Raw genomic sequence first — 21,242 nt, 5'->3', positions numbered from 1 at the left:
GATTATAAGGGATAGGCACAAGGGAAGTTTGGAGGAGGGGGGTGGTTAATGGAGTTGTTCTGTATCCTGAGTATGGTAGTGGTAACACAAATCTGTACATATAGTAAAATACACACATGGCACAGTAGTGCAGGGGAGTGGTGGTTACTTCTGCCTAGCTGTTACCATTACTGGATGAATGTTCCTTAGTAACAGCCCTAAAGTGTCAACAGGAATGTGTTCCATCTGTCTTGCTAAAGTGCAACACACAGGCTCCCTTGCAGCTAGGTGTGGCCATGTGTGACAAAATTTTGACTATTGAATTATAAAGAGTTAATTTGGTGGGATTTCTGGGAATGCTTTTTCAAGAAGCAAGTTTTGGGAGGCCGAGGCGGGAGGATTGCTTGAGGCCAGGAGTTCAGGGCCAGCCCTGACAACATATGAGACTGTGACTCTACAGAAAATATAAAAATTAGCTGGATGTGGTGGCACATGCCTGTAGTCCCAGCTACTTGAGAGGCTTAGGTGGGAGGATCACTTGAGCCTGGAAGGTTAAGACTGCAGTGAGCCTTAATCTCACCACTGCAGTCCAACCTGGGCGACAGAGCAAGACTCTGTCTCAAAAAAATAAAACAAGCAAGTTTATTCTTCCTCCTTTTTTTGTCTTCCTGCTGCCCAGAATGCAGATGTGAAGACTGAAATACCTGCAGTGTTCTTGGGCCTTGAAGTGCCATTTTTCTCAAAAGACCACACCCTGTTAGGAGCAATTAGCAGATCAGACCTTCTCCACAGGCAGAGGGAAGCACAGGACTGGGACTGGCACAGCCTTCCTTGTACTGGAGTTAACTCTTGGTGCTACCACATGGTTTTGTTAAAGACTGGGGAATCCAGACACTGGGAGATGTATTTTAATGATTATAATTGCCTTAAGTGACTAAATAAAAAATTATTACTTTTTATAAACATCCCCAACATTTCACCTGTTCATAAAGATGAACATTCTAATCTAGCAAATTAATTTGTTTTGTGGCCTAGGGATGCATTTCGTAACTAATCTTACAGCAGAGGCTTTCAAACTATGTTCTGTGAAGTCGTCAGTGCCAGCCTTGATGAAAAACAAGCCCTCTACGTCCCCTTCAGCCAGAATGGTTCTGCTTCACCTGTATTGGAGTTCAAGATGAGATTTTGTTTAAAAACATGGTATATATATATATGTGTGTGTGTGTGTGTGGGTGTGTGTACATATATACATATCTAGAAGTATATAAAATCAAGAAAAAAAAGGATGCCATTACTCTTTAGCATTCTATTGACACTTTGGCAAGGGTAAAAAGTAAATGAAATTAAATAATTGGTACAAATATTGGGGAGTCATAGAAATTATCATTTTTATGTGTAAGTTATTGTCTATGTAGAAAATACAAGAAAATCAATTGAATCGTTAGCATAGATAAAATAGTTTATACACACACACAAATAATTTCATATATATATATATATATATATATATATATATATATATATATATAATGAAATACACTGTCTTGGAAGATTCAACCAAAGTGCATAGACTGTAAGTACATCAAGCTTAAAGGTGCATATACTATAAATACTATTAAGCAAGCTTGGCAAAAGAAACTTTTAAAAGTTTTCAAGCCAGGCATGGTGGCACATGCCTGGAAGCCCAGTTACTTGGGAGGCTGAGGAGGGAGCTTTGCTTGAGTCCAGGAGTTTGAGACTAACTTAGGCAACATGGAAAGAGACTGTCTCTTAAAAAAAAAAAAACAAAAAAAGTTTTCAAGATAAAATGATGATGATCATTGGATATGAAGCACTGGAACCCTCATCTCCTTTTTGTCCATGTCTTATAGAGTATCCTGTTTTTCCAAGGAAGATTTTGATCCTGCCTCAGATATTTCCATGGTCTTTCCCCCTTGAGCAGGTGGAGAGACCTTCTGCTAAATTAATGAATGTAAACTGGTCACATGCCTTAACATTCATAAAAGGATGTCACACTTTCTGACTGTAGCTGACTACTGTAATTTATGTTCTTACCCTTAATGTACAGCATAGAATATTTCTACTTCTCGGAAATCTTTACAATTCATTACTTATCAAAAAGCTCAATATCACTTATGGAGAACTATCTGATGGATACATAGCCATTTTCTCTTCTAATTCAGTGTCAGCAAATACTGTATATGGCACTGCTCTTGCTACTTACTATCCTTTCCACGCCCCTGGGCAACTTCTTTAATCCATAACCCTTTCTTATGCTGAGCCTAGACTCTTGCTCAAACATGATTCTACCCAACCAGTGCTTTGAGCAGCCATTGGCATCTCCTAGCATTGGCATGCAATATAAAATCCATTTGCTATTTCACCTCTAGATACTCTTAAAAGCCAAACTGTCAGAAAGCCATGCACTTGAAATACATCATTTTGTCCCCTGTAAGATTCTTTCCTAGAATCGTACTTTGGACTTATGTCATCAGCCTACATTAAAATCATAAGAAGAAAAAACTCTTAGAAGTTATCATATTTACTGTAGGAGTGTTGTTGGAGTATCTGTCCTTTTTCTGAGGATTATTTTTTAGCATCTGAAGGGCAGAGATTAAGTAACTTGCCCAAGTTTACACAGTAAGGGACAGAACTAGGAATTGAACCAAAGATTGCCTGATTGCATATCCTCTGTTCCTTTCTTCTCTGAGCCCCCAGATTTGTTCGCCGCCTTAGCTGCCAGCTTCTGCCCCAACCTGCCTTCCCCTCGCATCTAGACATTCAATCCTTCACTTCGTTTCCATGCAATGAGATGCCTATTTTTCCCCCTGCATTTATTGACTACGTTTCTGCCCTTCCTGGTTTTTCCTGCCTCTTTTTATTCTTCCTCATAAGCATTCTCTAGATAAACTCTCCCTGCATTTACTCAACAACCCATTACAGTCTGACATCTGCTCCAATGATTTTACTGAAATTACTTTATTGGAAACCACTGATGAACTCCTAACTGCCAAATCTGATGACATCTTCACTCTTCATCTTGCCCCATCTCTCGGCAATTTGACAATGTTGATCGTTCCTTCCTTCTCAAAGCCATCTCTGCTTCTGGTCTCAATGACAAATTGCTCTTCAATTTCTCCTCTGATCTCTCTAACTCTGTCTTGATTTTCCTCACTGGATCCTCTTTTTCTTCCCATTAAATATAGGTACTCTCCGAGGTTCTGCTTGTGTCCCTCTCATGTTGCAAGCCTGTTTGGTGTCATTATCTGTCCCAATTTCAACTATTAATATCCCTCTGAAGACAACCTACTCCTTCAGTCCCCATCTCTCCTCTGATTGTCAGACTGTGTTACATTTGTCTCCTTCACTAGAGTATAAACTATCAAAGACTAGACTATATCTTCTTTTTTTTTATCTTCTTATTCTTAATGTTACAGTACAGGCCTAGACAGAGTCGATGCTTAACATTTTTTCTTTTTTTTTTTTTGTTTTTGAGACGGAGTCTCACTCTTGTCGCCCAGGCTGGAGTGCAGTGGCACGATCTCGGCTCACTGCAACCTCCACCTCCCAGGTTCAAGCAATTCTCTGCCTCAGCCTCCCGAGTAGCTGGGACTAAAGGCGCCTGCCACCACACCCGGCTAATTTTTTTGTAGTTTTAGTAGAGATGGGGTTTCATCATGTTGGCCTGACTGGTCTTGAACTCCTGACCTCATGATCCACCCGCCTTGGCTTCCCAAAGTGCTGGGATTACAGGTGTGAGCCACCGCGCCTGGCCAACATTTTTAAAACAAATTTTCTTGCCTACTTCTCGCTGTGTTTTAATGACCATCCAATGTCTTGTAAAAAGCCTTTATTTATTCATAAACATTCATCAAGTACCTACCATATACTTGACATTACTCTAGGCAAAATATTTCCTTTGGATTTCTGGAACATCCTAGGATCAGTCACATTTAGTTCAACCTTTTTATTTTCCAAGTCTACAACTATAATTCTTTATTTTACTCATTCAGATGCACAATTCTTCACATTTTAATATCTTTGACATCAAGATGCACCTTACAAAGGTTTGATAAGAAAGCACTGTATCATAGTTTAATTGGCAGCATTTTTTTGTTTTTGAGACAAGGTCTCATTCTGTCCCCCAGGCCAAGTGCAGTGGTGTGATCATGGCTCACTGCAGCCTCGACCTGCCGGGTTCAAGTGATCCTCCCACCTCAGCTTCCCAAATAGCTGGGACTACAGGGGTGTGCACTACCACACCCAGTTAATTTTTTATTTTTTGTAAACTCAGGGTCTTGCTATGTTGCCTAGGCTGCTCTCAGACTCTTAGACTCAAGCAATCCTCCTGCCTCGGCTTCCCAAAGTGTTGGGGTTTCAGGCGTGAGCCACCACGCTGGGCCTTGGCAGCATTTTCTAATGGTACATAAAATAATGGTGCATCTTACAATGACATTTTAAACTCTATGAAATGTAATGATTTTATACTGATAATTAAGGGTTATAAAGTTCATTCTATTATGTTTTGTTATCTGAGAAATGTTTAGTAATTCTGAGTGTGCTGGACTTTGTAAGGTAAGAAAAAAATATTTTTAAAGGATTTTCAATAATAAGGGTTAAAACTAAAGGAAAAGGACTTACAATGGCACAATAGTTTCACAAATCTAAACATTTCCTCTGCTCCAAATATTCAGCAAGACAGATGAAATAGAAAAAGAGAAAACCAAAAAGAAACAGACTCAAAAGCAATAATCATTTCCACAAACCAGGAAGAGCACATAAATGCAGACCAGGAGTAGGTTAGCTGCCTTGAGGCAGGCAGTGGTACTTGGAATTTTAGCACCACAAAGAGGTGCTAAAATGGGCTTGGAACTAGGCTCTGGGCTTGGAAGCATCCTGCCCTCTACACACAGGTACACACACTCTTTTTTTTTTTATTTTGGTAATTGGTAGATATTTTAATATCTACATATTACATAAATCAAAATTCAAAACTCAAACTATAGCATTTTATGATACAGAGAAATCTCATGTTTACTCCAGTCTCACTTTCCCTCTTCTTTAGGAAATCATTTTTATTGGTTTGTTGTGTATTCTTCCAATGGCTCTTCTCGCAACTATATATATTCTTATTTCTCTTCCTTTTTTTTTTTTTTGAGACAGGATCTCTCTATGATGTTGCCCAAGCTGGAGTGCAGTGGCTATTCACATTCACAGGCGCAATCATAGCTCACTGCAGCCCAAACTCCTGGGCTCAAGTGATTCTCCTACCTCAGCCTCCCAAGTAGCTGGGACCACAGGCATGTGGTGTCTCTCGCTTTCTTAAAAGGATAGCATACCCTTTTACACAAAAGATAGCACACCATATGCACTGTTCTATACCTTGCTTTTGTCGCTTAACTGTATGTACAGAAGATTGTTCCATATCAGGACATGGAGATTTTACTTTCTTTTTTATAGCTCTGTGTAGTTCATTGTGTGCGTGAACCGTGGTTTACTCGAGTCCTCTCTTGCTGTACACATGCTATTTACAGATAAATGTTCTCTGTTACTCTCAATATCACAATGAACAGCCTTGTACCTATGTCATTTCACACTCCCACACAGTTTTGTAAATGGAGGCTGAGTAAAATTGTGGCCTAACTTCTGCCTGGGGCTACAGCTTTATAGGATGTTGAAGATTTAGCCAAGTAGGAAGACAAAGACACAGTCTTACAACCAGGAAGTCAGTAAAACCACCCGCTGGATCATTCTCCTAAGATCTAGTTATAGATTAGAAGCTTGAGAAGTAGGGTGGAAGTAAATGTAAAACTAGTAAACAGGCCGGGTGCAGTGGCTCACACCTGAAATTCCAGCACTTTGGGAGGCCGAGGCGGGCGGACCACCTGATATCAGGAGCGCCAGGAGTGGTCAGGAGACCAGCGTGGCTGACATGGCGAAACCCCATTTCTACTAAAAATACAAAAAGTAGCTGGGCATGGTGGCATGCACCTGTAATTCCAGCTACTTGGGAGGCCGAGGCAGGAGAATTGCTTGAACCCAGGAGGCGGAGGTTGCACTGAGCTGAGATTGCACCACGGCACTCTAGCCTGGGCGGCAAAGCGAGACTCCATCTCAAAAAAAAAAACCAAAAAACAAAACAAAACTAGTAAACAACAAATAAGAGAAAGAGGCTTCAAAACAAATATATACATTGGATGGATATAAATATATATTTCAAAAACGAAATACATGTGTTTATATATTAATATGTTATATTTAATTTAAATATTAAATAAATGGGGAATTACATTTGTATTTAATTTATGTTTAAGTTATGTTTAACTTATATTAAGACAATTTATCCTTTATGGAGGCACATGCCACCATACCCAGACAATTATTTTATTTTGTAGAGATGAAGTCTCACTATGTTGCCCAGGCTGGTCTCAATCTCCTGGACTCCAGCAGTCCTCCTGCCTCAGCCTCTCGAAGTGCTGGGAGTACAAGCATGAGCCACCACACCCAGTAATTTATCCAATTTGGCACCTAATCCATCAGGGCATCTGCCAGCTGTGCCCAAGGCCAGAGCATATCCGCTGAATTTCTGCCCACTTCATGAAATTTTCTAGGGGACATAGGGGTACAAGGAGCTTTAATAATCCTCTGACAAAGTTGAATGAACAAAAGAGCAAGAGAGAACAATCTGCCCCATTCTGGCAAATTGAGGACTGCAGTGCTTTGTGAGAGGCATCAGAAGCACCAATCAAAAGCACTAGCAGTGCTTGGAAAGGGAAGCTTAAGTAGACGAAGGAGTGTAAAATGAGGATGCCATGGGTAACTGATCACACCTATTGAGGAGGGAATAGAGTTATGATAATGGTTATGTGTGGGTACTGGCATCAGCCACACCCAGGATTGATCCCAGGCTTGCCTCTCACTGACTGTTTAACCTCACACGAAGATCTTGAAAGCCCCTGTACACTAGGGTCCTCCCCTGTAAGATGGGGATTGCAGTGCTTTCTTAGTGCTCCCTGTATTGTGTGTACTGATAGGATTTTGTGAGATACTTCTGAGATCTCACCAGAAATACCCACAGAAACCAGTCCTACATGTAGGCAGGGCAAGAGCCAGACACAAAAGCCACACAAGTCAGCATCTTGAGCAAAAGAAATAATAGGGAGAATGCAAACTGAGGTTTATTGAGCTATTATTCTTTTATTTCACTTTAGTTCCACAAATATCATTATTCAGAGATAAAAACCCTAAGTCCTTCCTGCAAGACAATCTGAGTCTACTGAGCATTCACCAGTGTGGGTAAAGTGCACATTGTGAAGTACGTGTAGATCAGGGGAGCTCAGAGCAGATGCATCTAACTCCTAACTCAGACAGGAATCAGTGGCCAGGAGTTGTTCAGAGCCGGGAGGATGAAGGCAAAGGAGGAGCCTTGGACAGCCACTAGCTTTTTGGGTGGGTGACTGGGGATCCCTTAGAAAGACAAGACATACAAGAGGGAGGTCATGGTTGGAGGTGAGGACCTGAAGACTGTTTGAGTGTAGGACCACTGCTTTCAAATAGAGGGGATGTAGGGTACAGGAAAGGGCTAAATGTGCATGACTGAAGCCAGCCCAATTGTCCCTAGAACTGATGTTTATGGTTTCTTTTGAATAAACATAGAAATTCATCCTCCCAGTCTTGAAACTTGGGAAAGTTACATATATATAAACTTCCACTGAAGCACTAAACATTTATTTTATCTGAGTTCCTTTCTCAGAAAACCAAACATCAGCCCTCCCAGATAGTATCAAGGAACTGAAACTTACCAGATCACTGCATCTGGACAGTGAAACACCAGACCCCTCACCTGTCATGAGTGCCTAGCCAGCCACCTGCTTCCTGTTGACCAACTCCTCTTCCTTACCCCTCACTAATTCTTGTTTTCCCATACGTGGTTATAGTTCTTCCCTGCTATATAAACTTCTAATTTTAGTTAGTCAGGGAGATAGATTTGAGACCAATCACCCATTGCCTTGGCTGCAGCACCTAATTAAAGACTTCTTCCCTAGTCATACTCATTGTCTCAGTGATTGGCTTTCTGTGTGGCAAGCAGAAGGACCTAGAGTGAACCCCTGGCATTTCAGTAACATTACCTCAGTTAAATCTTATGCCATTCTTGGGAAGTGCTATGGTTAGGATATGGTTTGTTTGTCTTCACCAAATCTCATGTTGAAATTTGATTCCCCCGTGTGTCTGTGTTGAGAAGTAGGGTGTGGTGGGAGGTGTTTGGGTCATGGGGACAGGTCCTTCCTGAATATCTTGGTGCTGTCCTTGTGGCAGTGAGTGATTTCTTGCTCTGGTGAGACTGGTTTAGTTCTCACAGGAATGGATTAGTTCCCCCAAGAGTAGGTTTCTATAAATCCAGGATGCCCCTCTGGTCTGGTCCCTCTTCATGCTTGCTTCCCCTTTGACCTTCTCCTCCATGTTTCAATGCAGCACAAAAGCTCCACCAGAGGACAGTCTGGAGCCAAAAAAAAAAAAAAAAACCACGAGCTAAATAAACCTTTTTCCTTTATAAATTACCCAGCCCCGGGTATTCTGTTATAGCAATGCAAAACAGATTAAGACAGGAAGGAAGCATTATTTCCAATGCATAATGGTCAGAAGGGCTGAGGTTCAGAGAAATTTAGTAACTTACCCGAAGTTGCTCAGGCACTGAAATTTGAATGTGGAACCACCTTACATCAGCTTTTCTCACTAAGGAAAGCTGCTCTGACTCAAGAGAAAGAAAACCTAGTGTTTCTCATTGCCAGATAGTTCTGATTGCTACTTACTTTCTCATCTATTTCATATTATGATAATGTTTTCCTGGAATTGGATGATATAATACTAGAAATTGGAGATGTTTATTCACTACAAAGATTATATATGCAGGCTTCCTGTCATAATCAAGGGAAGTTGCTCACATCATTTACGATTTCCAGTCTTCTCTGTATATGATAATGCTTATTTTAGGAAATCTGTTTTTACTAAGCCTGCTGATCTTCAAAAGGAAAACAGGCAGAGGCGAGGACTGTGATATACTCTTTTGATATTTATCGAGTCTAGAGTCCACCTTAAATTAGTTTGCTGGGAAGCATTACATGTGATGAATGGTATAGTATTTAAATGATGCTGTGGATGTTTTTCCCTAATAATAAAGAAAATTACTCTAACACAACTATTTTGTTTCATTTCTTCATACAAAATTCATGTTTGAATTCCATCTTGGCCCTAAAATTTTAAATTTCCATAACAAGTTTTATACATTATTAAATTTTATACACCACTGCATTATGCTTTTGAAACTGATTGTACAATCTAATTAATTCAGAATATTAACTACAATTTCCATAAAATGAATAAGATAATGTTGATCTGGGTGAGATAGAGGGCTACAATAATCTTTTCCCCTCTCCCCAGCATCCCAATTGTGTACATATATTAAAAACCACTTCTCTGAAAGTCCCCAGTCCAATAACTGCAATGTGGAGGAACACAGCCAAGACCAAAAGTAAATTTAAAATACTTCCAAATAGACAAAATAACTGCTTTAAAAACTCGCACTTCATTCCTAGGCAAACCCTTCCAACCCTTTGTCAGAAGTTAGAACTCCATCTTTTTTAAGCCAGGATTTTCACATGAGTCATGCAATTTCTATATCCAAAGCAGATTAAAGATGAAATTAAAAGGTTAATGAGGGTAAAGTGGATGCCTAGAAACTGTCTCCCTGAGAAAAGCAAGTGTCTCTTGACAGTCTAATAACAATGGAGAGAGCAAACCTACCAAAAGTGGATACAAGAGTTCAGAGAGCATGGCAGGCTAGGGACTATTTATCTTAAGAGAAAATAGCCCTAGGTATGTCATCAGATCCTCAGGGCCTTGCCATACTAGAATACAAAAAGTCATCAGTGCTCACAATGACTTGGAATCATTAAATTCATTTTCCCCTCTGAGAAGCAAGCAAAGTGTACAGTATACTTTGGCAGACTTTCCATTAAAAACATTAAAATGTTTTAAATCTTAAAGAGCTGTTTCAATTATTTGGAAAATTGACTTACTGGAATATCACATTTCCTCATAATGTGAAATAAGTGAGGTGTCATTATGTATTATAATTTAATCCTCTTTCTTCTGTTAAAAAATAATCCATATAAACCACATTGTATCAGATATTCCAGATGTCTCAAGACCTCACTAGCCTCTGAATACAAATGGGTTCAAATTTTCTTCAATAGTCCAAAAGTTCCTATTCCCAGCACCTATCCTCATCATTGCAGGACATAAGCACACCTCATTCAAAGCTGTCCTTTCATGTTTCACTCTGCACAGAGTCACCTGCCATTCTTCTCAGCCAGAAGAAGGCTGCCTCCTAGGGCTGTCACAGCCACAAACCCCTGGGCATACCAAACAGTTTCTGGGCCCCTGGTGATCTTCTTGTACTGAGTATTCAGCTGAGCTGGGGAGAGAGCATTTCACTCTGTCACTGTGTTGAAATCTGTCTCCTGGCCCAGAGACATCACTGCTTGTGCCTCAAGTCCCACCAACAACCTTAAGGAAACTACTCTTTCAACTTTGAATTGTCCCTTCCTTCCCTTGAGGTCAGTTGGAGAACAGACACCATTCTTAACTGTTTGCTCTCTCTTTTCCAGGTACCCACCTCACACACCTTCTCAACTGCTCCTCCCCAACATGCATGACAATGAACAGATTCCTCGAGCTGCTAGCTGGTCAACAGACACACTCAACTAGAATCTGGGTCTGGCATTCGGCTAGAGCATCAAGACCCATAATGTGTATTTTGACATACTTAAGGTTTTGTTGTTGTTGTTGTTTTTTGTTTTTGTTTTTTTTTGAGACAGGTTCTCACTCTGTCACTCACGCTGGAGTGCAGTGGCACAATCTTGGCTCACTGCAACCTCTGCCTCCTGGGTTCAAGCAATTCTCCTGCCTCAGCCACCTGAGTAGCTCGGATTACAGGTGGATACCACCACGCCCGGCTAATTTTTGTGTTTTTTGGTAGAGACGGGATTTCACCGTGTTGGCCAGGGTGGTCTTGAACTCACACACACACACACACACACACAAACACATATACATGCAGGGTCTTTTAAAATTCACGAAATGTATGTATTATGAAAAAACTATGCATGGATTTCAAAAAATGTTTGTACCAAAATAAACTCATACTAACTTGTTATAACATGTCTAAATGGGATAAGTTTGAGGCACTAGAAAGATAAGACATCAGTATGAAATTAGCCCCTATCAGAGCAACATATTCTGCTAAAATTGAAGCAAGAACAAACATCAAATTTATGGTGAAGCTTGGGTGGAAGAATGGTGAAATCACTGATGCTTTATGAAAAGTTTAGGGGGGACATGCCTGAAAGAAACCAGTAGTTTACAAATGGGTAACTCATTTTAGTAAGGGGTGAGAGCATGTTGAAAATGAATGCAGTGGCAGATCATCTACATCAGTTTGTCAGGAAAATATTCATTTTGTTTGTTCTCTAACTGAACAGGACCAATGACTCACAGCACAAACAATATCCAACACCACAGACATCTCAACTGGTTCAGCTTACACAATTCTGACTGAAAAATTAAAAGTTGATTGGGAGGCCAAGGCAGGCGGATCACCTGAGGTCGGGAGTTTGAGACCAGCCTGACCAACATGGTGAAACCCTGTCTCTACTAAAAATACAAAATCAGCCAGGCATGGTGGCACGTGCCTGTAATCCCAGCTAGTCAGAAGGCTGAGGCAGGAGAATCGCTTGAACCTGAGAGACAATGTTGCGGTCAGCTGAGATCGTGCCACTGCACTCCAGCCTGGGCAACAAGAGTGAAAAACTGTCTCAATAAAAAAAAAAAAAAATTAAAGTTGAACAAACTTTCTACTGAATGGGTGCCAGAACCATTGCACCCAACTTGGCTGCAGACAAGAGCAGAGCTTTCAATGGAAATTTTATTATTTTATTTTATTTCTTTTCAGGTCTAGGCCTACAAATCAATGGAATTTTAAACAAGTGGGATTAAGATCCTGAAGTATTTCTTTGAAGAATTATAACAGGAAATGAAACATGGCTTTACCAGTACTATCCTGAAGACAAAGCACAATCAAAGCAATGGCTACCAAGAGCTACCAAGAGGTTGAAGTGGTTCACTCAAAGCAAAAGCAGAGGCCAGGCGTGGTGGATCACACCTGTAATCCCAGCACTTTGGGAGGCTGAGGCAGGGGGATCACTTGATGTCAGGAGTTTGAGACCATCCTGGCCAATACGGTGAAACCCCATCTCTACTAAAAATACAAAAATTAGCTGGGCATGGTGGCCCAAGCCTGTAGTCCCAGCTACTCAGGAGGGTGAGGCAGGAGAATCGCTTGAGCCTGGGAGGCTGAGGTTGCAGTGAGCTGAGATTGCACCACTGCACTCCAGCCTGGGCAACAGGGCAAGACTCCATCTTGAAAAAAAAGAACAAAGCAAAGGCAGACCAGTCAAGAGCAAAGGTCATGGCCATAGCTTTTTGGGATGCTCAAGGCATTTTGCTTGTTGACTTCCTGGATGACCACAGAACAATAACATCTGCTTATTATGGCAGTGTTTGGAGAAAGTTATCCAAAGCTTTAGCAGAAAAACACCCAGGAAAGCTTCTCCAGGGAGTCCTTCTCCACCACAACCAATGCTCCTGCTCATTTCTCTCATCAAACAAGGGCAATTTTGCAAGAGGTTCAATGGGAAATCATTAGGCATCCACCATACCATCCTGATGTGGCTGCTTCTGACTTATTTTTGTTTCTTAATCTTAAAAAAATCTTCAAGCCCGGTGCAGTGGCTCACGCCTGTAATCCCAGCACTTTGGGAGGCCGAGGTGGGCGGATCACCTAAGGTCAGGAGTTCGAGACCAGCCTGACCAATATGATGAAACCCCATTTCTACTAAAAATACAAAAATTAGGTGGGCATGGTGGCATGCACCTGTAATCCCAGCTACTTGGGAGGGTGAGGCAGGAGAATCGGTTGAACCTGGGAGGCAGAGTTTGCAGTGAGCCAAAATCGCACCATTGCATTCCAGCCTGCGCAACAAGAATGAAACTCCGTCTCAAAAAAAAAAAAAGTCTTTAAAGGGCATCCATTTTTCTTCATTAAATTATATTTTAAAAGACTGCTTTGATGGTTAAATTCCCAGGACGTGCAGTTCTTTATGGATTGACTAAATGGCAGGTATCATCATTTAAAAAAAGTGTCTTGAACTTGATGGAGCTTATGTTGAGAAGTAAAGCTTATATTTATATTTTTATCTTTTTCTTTTAATTCTATTATTCCATGAGCTTTTTGAAGTCCTCTTGTGTGTGTGTGTGTGTGTGTGTGTGTATACGTGGGTGTATATGTATGTATGTGCATATATGTGTATAAGTGTGTGTGTGTGCGTGTGTGAGAGACACACTTCTAAATTTATTTTTAGGCAAGGCGCTGTGGCTCATGCCTGTAATCCCAGCACTTTGGGAGGCTGAGGCAGGTGGATCACCTGAGGTCAGGAGTTCAAGACCAGCCTGGCCAACATGATAAAACCCTGTCTTTACTAAAAATACAAAAATTGGCTCAGCATGATGATGTGCGCCTGTAAGCCCAGCTACTCGGGAGGCTGAGACAGGAGAATCACTTGAACCCAGGAGGTAGAGGTTGCAGTGACAGTGAGCCGAGATCGTACCACTGCATTCAAGCCTGGGTGTCAGAGCAAGACTCTGTCTCAAAAATAAAAAATTTATTTATTTATTTATTTATTTATTTTTAAACTAATTCCCATACTGAATTCAGTTAGGGTCATTTTAAATGTGATTCTTTTATGATTTTCAAGTATATAATCATGTTATTTTCCTACAACAGTAATTTAGAAGAGACAACATTTAAAGGAAAAACTATATTCTTTCTCAAAGGTGATAAAAACTTTGTGGCTTTGAGGGCTGCGTGCTCCCCATCTTGCATTTTGATCTAAGTTCATAAAAAGATTAGAAAAAAAACTCCACTTTGCTACTTCCATAACGGGTCTAGATATTCATATTTATTGGCTACAAAGCAGCGTCAATTTTCTTCTGAATTTATACCATTTTTATGATGAGAGAAAATATGAAGACATTTTTATTTAGAAAAAAATGAGAGGGTGGGAGGCTATAAACTTTTTATTTTATGTTTTTACATTGGCTTTTATATAAAAAGATTGCTCACCACTGGTTTAGTATTCAGAGATTATATCCATTTGCATTTTTAAAAACACATCTGCTCAAGAAAATGCTTAAGAATATCTTCCCTTAATGTTTAAGAACCCCCACATATTGAAAAGATGCTTCTGGGCCTTAGGATTTCCTATCAGTTGCTACAGTCACAACAGACCATTGCTCTTGGAGAAGGTAAAAAATTTTGCTACAAAAATGGCTACCCCAAAAGCAAGATTTCTCAATCTAGCTGCCCCCTAGCAGATTTTTAACTAACTAATATTAGCGATTTTTACCTCCTTTATATAGTTGTGCCCTCAAATTTTTCTTAATTAAATGGCTTTGCATTCCAAAGATTTTAAAAAGTATGTACTGATAATAAACTTGACAGAGGGGAGGTGGATGGATGAGGAATAGGGATGGGGGCAGATTAAAGCTGCCAAGGTTATAGTTTCAAAAGAAGTTCTAATCTTTGAGGTGGAAACAGCAGAAGTATCCAGACTGAGCATTGAAAGTCTTCTAATTGAGATACTCAGAACCCTGACACAGAACACTCTGAAAAGTGTCACATATACATTCCCAGAGGGATTTGCATAAATCTCATCTACATGATCAAGCACGTGCACGCATAATATGACAATGTCTGATCTTAGCACAAAGATTGAAGTATGTTATTTTAAGTCATAGCATTGTTCCCTTACTGAATGTCATCCACACAGCATTAGCAGCTTTTGAGTTATTGCTCCCTTCAAATTTTCTAATTGTTTTAGATAAAAGTCGCAACAACTCATTTGGTAAAGGAGGCAAATCTTTTTTTTTTTTTTTTTTTTGAGACGGAGTTTCGCTCTTGTTACCCAGGCTGGAGTGCAATGGTATGATCTTGGCTCACTGTAACCTCCACCTCCCGGGTTCAAGCGATTCTTCTGTCTCAGCCTCCTGAGTAGCTGGGATTACAGGCGACTGCACTACTCCCGGCTGATTTTTGGTATTTTTAGTAGAGACGGGGTTTCACCATGTTGGCCAGGCTGGTCTCAAACTACTGACCTCAGGTGATCTGCTCACCTCGGCCTCCCAAACTGCTGGGATTACAGGCATGAGCCACCACTGTGCCCGGCCCCCATTTTTTTTAGATGGAGTTTTACTCTTGTTGCCCAGGCTGGAGTGCAATGACCTGGTCTCAGCTCAGGGAAACCTCTGCCTCCAGGGTTCAAGCGATTCTCTTGTCCCAGTCTCCCAACTCGCTGAGATTACAGGCGCCGGCCACCACACCCAGCTAATTTTTGCATTTTTAGTAGAGGCAGGGTTTCACCATGTTGGTCAGCCTAATCTCTAACTCCTGACCTCAGGCAATCCGCCCGCCTCGGCCTCCAAAAGTGCTGGGATTACAGGCGTGAGCTACCGCTCCCGAGCCGAGACAGGGTCTCACTCTGTAACCCAGTCTGGAGTGCAGTGGAGGGATCACGACTCACTGCAACTTCCTCTGCCTTCCCAGCTCAGTGGATCCTCCCACTTCAGTCTCCCGAGTAGCTGGGACTACAGGCTCATGCCACCACGTCAAGTTAATTTTTAGAATTCTTTTGTAGAGACAGGGTCTCACCATGTTGCCCAGGCTGGTTTCAAACTCCAGGACTTAAGCGATCCACCCTCCCCTGTCTCCCAAAGTGCTGGAACTATAGGCATGAGCAACAGCACCCGGCCCTGGCGGCAAATCTCACAGAGAGGACTTGGGCTCCAGCTCTTACCTTTGTTTTGAAAGAAGATAGTGATTTAAGTTAAGTGCAGGTCCTTATTTCTTGCACTAAAGAAATATTGTTTCTGACTGAAAGTGTTTTCTGTCTCTTAAGGTTAAATAGAAAGTGAGTCAAAATTCCTAGAGTACTCACCATAAACCAGTTTTTCAGTATCAGGAACTCACATTTATAGAGTACAGCTTATGAATCATGGTTTTTGCTTCTTATTTTACACATTTCTTTTTTTTTTTTTTTTTTTTTGAGACAGTCTCACTCTGTCGCCCAGGCTGGAGTGCAGTAGTGCGGTCTTGGCTCACTGCAACTTCTGCTTCCCAGGTTCAAGCAATTCTCTGCTTCAGCCTCCTGAGTAGCTGGGATTACAGGCACCCACCACCACACCTGGCTAATTTTTTTTTTTTTTTTTTTGTATTTTTAGTAGAGACGGGGTTTCACCATCTTGGCCAGGCTGGTCTTGAACTCCTGACTTCGTGATCCACTCACCTTGGCCTCCCAAAGTGCTGGGATTACAGGCAAGAGCCACTGCACCCAGCCTACATTTCAATTTTTTTAACAACCCCAAGAGGAGGTTGGTTATACTGTCCACTTCATGGGCGACGAAACAGGCTCAGAGAGGTTGAGTGACAGGCCAACATTCACACATTAAAAGGTGAGGCCAGGCTTCAAATTCAAGGCAGTATGTCTCCCTGACAGTTTCCTAGGCAGTCCAAGATAGTCCTTTTCAGTACTGTGAAATTGCTTTCATAGTGCATGCTCACCTAAGAAAAGGCTGGGAGCCAAATCTCTTCACACATGCTGTTAGAATAACAATTATAGGTGGCAAAATAGCAAGATACAAGTCACCATCAGCACTTCATATAGTCTAAACATAATATAATACCAGCTGCTCAGGAGGCTGAGACAGGAGAATTGTCTGAACCCAGGAGGGGAGTGCAGCCTGGTAGACAGAGCAAGACTCCGTCTCAAAAATAAAAAATAAATAAATAAATAAACATAATCTGCACAAATTTTCTGTAACAATAGCTAATGTAATAGTAGTAACAATAACATCTTAAATTTGTATGACATAGAACAATTGGCAAAGTGCTTTCACATGTTATCTCCATATATTGTAGATTATTTTGACCTGGACTCATATGTGAATTTCAACTTGAGTGCCAACTCCAATGACTGGTAGTGGCTGCCTGGAATTCTGTACTGAAGAGGGTTTTGAAGATCATTCTAAGATCAGTAAGAATCAGGGCCATGAATGATTAGTCACGTCTGCCATGTCAGAGGAGTTAGGACTGATGGTACATCTGTCAAATATTTGCTGTCTCTTATCTCTTCTAGTCCATTCTTTATACAAGTGAGTAAATGACTTGTGTATGGTCACATAATAAATGGCTAAGCTGAGCCCCAAACTCAGGTTTCCTTTAATCTATTGTCGTTCCTATTAAACCATGTTATATATGGAGACATGTTAATACTCTGAAGTTTAGTATTCAAATGGATTGGAATTGACTATAAAGTTTTGAGCTCGATAATGTTTAATCTGAAACAAAATGAGATGTTTTCTATAGTAAAATGCAAATAAAGTTTACATTTTATTTGAATAGTCATGTAGGAATGGCTCAGCCATGCAGGCATTATGGAATGTATATGTTACACAGATAGGGCTAAAGATATGCTGGGCTATCTTCACCTGTGTGCTAACTGATAATAATATCTGGAAGGTCTAAGAAGCTCAAAACTCTATTTCAAAGGCCAAGAACTTTTTGAATAGTGCCAGCGTGGCATCAATATGACATGAGATATCACACCAAGGCTTCAGGCTGATACAGCAATGATTGTGACTAATCTTGTAGTTAATTTAGAGTCCACAGTCTAAGATAGAAGCACATCAGCTTCTTGAAGAATTTTCCTAGTGCAGAGTCTATGCAACTTAGTATAAAATGGTAAGAGAAAATTAGTAACTATGCAAATGCAAGCAGTGACATATAGATGCTTTTGGGAATGATAGTAAAATCCACCAGATTGTTAAGGCTTATTCAGAGTAAAAACCATTGCAAAGAATTTTACAGACTATAAAATCTTTGCAGTGAGACTTATAAAGAATAGCTATGCAGCGGAGAGACTGTACTGTCCCCAGTGTAGGTCACGGGTTCAGATACTATGGTCACACTCTCCTTGGTCAGCAGTGTTATCTTTGAATACAAAAGACAAGAAGGTACATATTATGTAGTCAGCTGTGACCATCAAAGGCCAAACAGCTTTTTCTTCCAGCTGGAGCCATCTGCCTGACTACACAATACCCAGGACCCAGGGCAGTCTGGTGGCAGGATACCCCACCCCACTACTTAGCCCGAGTCACCTCTGAGAGAGCAGACAGGGATTTCTTACAGCTTTACACACTGCCTTTGTTGGTTGTTTCCAAGGTGACAAAGTGTTCTACCCTTTGCTGTAAATAAAGACAGGAGCAGAGGGATCTAACCCTTTCCTCCTCCTCTATCAGCCTCTGTCACGTTCAGTTGCATGCTTCTTGTAAGGCTGTATACAGTGAAAGCCCCGTTTCCCAGATTCACACCTGCCTTGGGTTTTTTTGTTTGTTTTATGTGCATGTGGAACTTTGCTGTCGGTCACAGAGCCTTGTGGCTGGCATTCAAGGCCCTCTGGTTTTTACTCCTACCTCACTCCAAAATGTTTTCTCATCAGGAGAGGAATAAATTCAAATACTGTTGAAGATTGTATTATGTATTTCCAATTAGTCACTGAATCTCTCTGTGATTATGTTTTCCCAGGCCACTGACATCAGGTTTGGCATATAACATGCTTTGGCCAGATGTGCTGTCAGTGGAAGTAACATGTGCCATGTCTGACAAAGGTTTTAAGAGTCATTCTCACAGTTCTGCCATTATTCTTTCCCCTTTGGTCATGAGAATGGTCCATCCTAGGCAGGGGCTGCCCCTGCGGCCTGGATGCCAGAGTGGAGAAGACATACAGAGCACAGGCACAGCCAACTGCAGCTGATACATAAGAGGTAGAAATAGAACTTTGTAGTGAGTAGGAAGCAACTGAAATTTTAGGAGTGTTTGTCACGACAGCGTAACCTAGCAAAAGCTGACCAATAAATACTTGTAAGCATGGGACAGGGGAGGTACAAGAGTGAAGGGGCCAGCTGGGGACCACATCAGCATGGAACACTCACTGTCATCTAAAGGGTATAGTAGTGACTCAGCTTCAAGTGATTATTGCCTCCTCCTGGGCACGTAGGCCCATTGCTACCAACATCCTCATTTTTAAGATATTATCAGGGATCCAGATTTTCATGTGAATGCTACCAGTGTTTTAATGTTCACACTAAGTTCAGGCCAAATAATACATGTTATACCGCCCAAAAGTGGGCATTAGGCTCTAGTTTCTAACCTCTGTTCTATGCTAACCTACCACTCTCACAAAACCAGTGTATTCATTGTTCTCCAACACTACTTATATTTCCTCCTTCCTGCTGTTACCCATACTGTACCCTCCCATCCTCCCACTTTTCTCCATAAGTCTCCTAAATTCAAGGCCTTTGTCAAGTTCTCCTTCCCCTCTTTCTCCAACCAGGATCCCCATCCATGAACTTACAGTCTGTATTGTATTTTGCATCTTGCCTGCACCTCTGATGTCATTTATTTTCTTATGCACATACTTCATTCTTTGAGAGTCTACATGCCCAGTGAAATAGGAACCATAACTTATACATTTTGGCATCCTATTGCCTCATAGACATAAAAGACACAAAATTAATGTTGTTTAATACTGATAGCTTGTTGGTTCAGATGAACACCCACGGTCAATTATCTGCTTCTGAGGTTTTTGAAAACAAAGGGTGAAATCCAGAAGGAGCCAGATTCTAAACCTTTACATGCCTATTTTTGTCGTACTAAAGCGTACAGCTGGTTAAAAAACAACACAAAGCAAAACAAAACAAACTTAGGTTTGAATGCTGCACACACAAATCTTGATAATATCTGGGCTTCTTGTTGAGTTCTGTCTGCTGTGATATACTCAATTAGGGAAATAATGTCAGGGTTAATCCAATTCACCTGGGATTAAATTTTGTATTAGCCAAACTTGTAAGACCCCTCGTATAATTTGTTTTATGCCTCAGCCACCAAAAGGAGTGACAGCATTCAGCTGAGTTTTTAAAGAAGGACATTTAATTTTCCAAGCTGTTGAGACATCCTTTCAAGCCCTTTCTGGGGGGCTCTGTGGTGCACCATAACATTGTAATATTTTTGGTGAGCCTCAGTATATGTTTGTGGAATGAACAAATAAATCAATGAAATGCTCTAATGCTGCAGTTGTTATTTCTCCAGCTTAGAAAGATTAAATTCTCACCACCATCCCCTGTCCTCTCATCATCCACATTGGTTTAACTCCTATAATTTTTTACCTTTCATGAAGTAATGCTCTTCTAATAGTTCTCCTAATTTTCCTAAGAACCTAATGTAAACACTAGGAGAATCTAGTTCTTTAATTAGCAAGTGCTTATAAGTGTTTTGTTATCTTTTAAAAGTGAGTTGTTCAGTGCAAAATGTGAAAAAGGGCCAAATAACACCCAAAGGTATTAAACCAATTACTAGAAGATATAAGATGAGATCTGTGCTAGGAGAATAATATCAGAGTCAAAACAAATCACTTGGAAGTGAATCACTTCCCTTTGGCAACTGAAATTAATTTAAACAACTCCCCTCCAACCCCCTGTGGTTTTGTTTGACATTTCTTTCAAATGCCAATGAGTACCTCACTTTGTCAAATTAGATAAATCCAAGCTGCTGGTATTATGCTGTTTGGAAGCCATATGGCCATATGTCTAGGATGTTCCAGGGCACCCTGATTTCATGTAATTTTAATGTTTTTAATAAAGGCAATTTGTTAAATGTATAACAAATGGGAAGTCATTTTATGTATCTGCAAGACTTCATAGAATTGAATTCACAAGTAAGAAAATGCTCTTTATTACCATTCAATCCAATCCAACCAACATTTACTGGCTATGACACGTCAGTCCCTAAATTAGGCCAAAGGGACCTGGAGATGAATATGTCATAATCCCTGCCCTCAAGGATCTTACAAATTAAACAATAATTACAATTTAGTGATTCATGTGTAACAATCAAAATATGTTCCAACCACAGGGAATCATAAGGGACAGTGATTAACTTCATTTAGTCTGGAGGTGGGACCGTGGCCAGAAAGGCTTCCAAGAAGGAGTGACACCTGGGCTGGGTTTTAAAGGATGAGCAGGAGTTCATTATGTGC

At 40.7% G+C, this 21,242-nt stretch overlaps 1 annotated feature.

The window, feature by feature from the left end:
• Positions 15,038-15,538: an enhancer, noted in NCBI's record as "H3K4me1 hESC enhancer chr1:167170747-167171247 (GRCh37/hg19 assembly coordinates)". NCBI's record gives its function as "activates a minimal SCP1, AML or CMV promoter by ChIP-STARR-seq in primed H9 embryonic stem cells {active_cell/tissue: H9 hESC(primed)}" and the evidence as "EXISTENCE:reporter gene assay evidence [ECO:0000049][PMID:30033119]".

Source organism: Homo sapiens, chromosome 1 (assembly GCF_000001405.40).
Source record: "Homo sapiens chromosome 1, GRCh38.p14 Primary Assembly".
Classification (NCBI taxonomy): Eukaryota; Metazoa; Chordata; class Mammalia; order Primates; family Hominidae; genus Homo; species Homo sapiens.
Note: the sequence above shows the minus strand (reverse complement) of the source record. Positions and strands in the feature narration are given on the sequence as shown.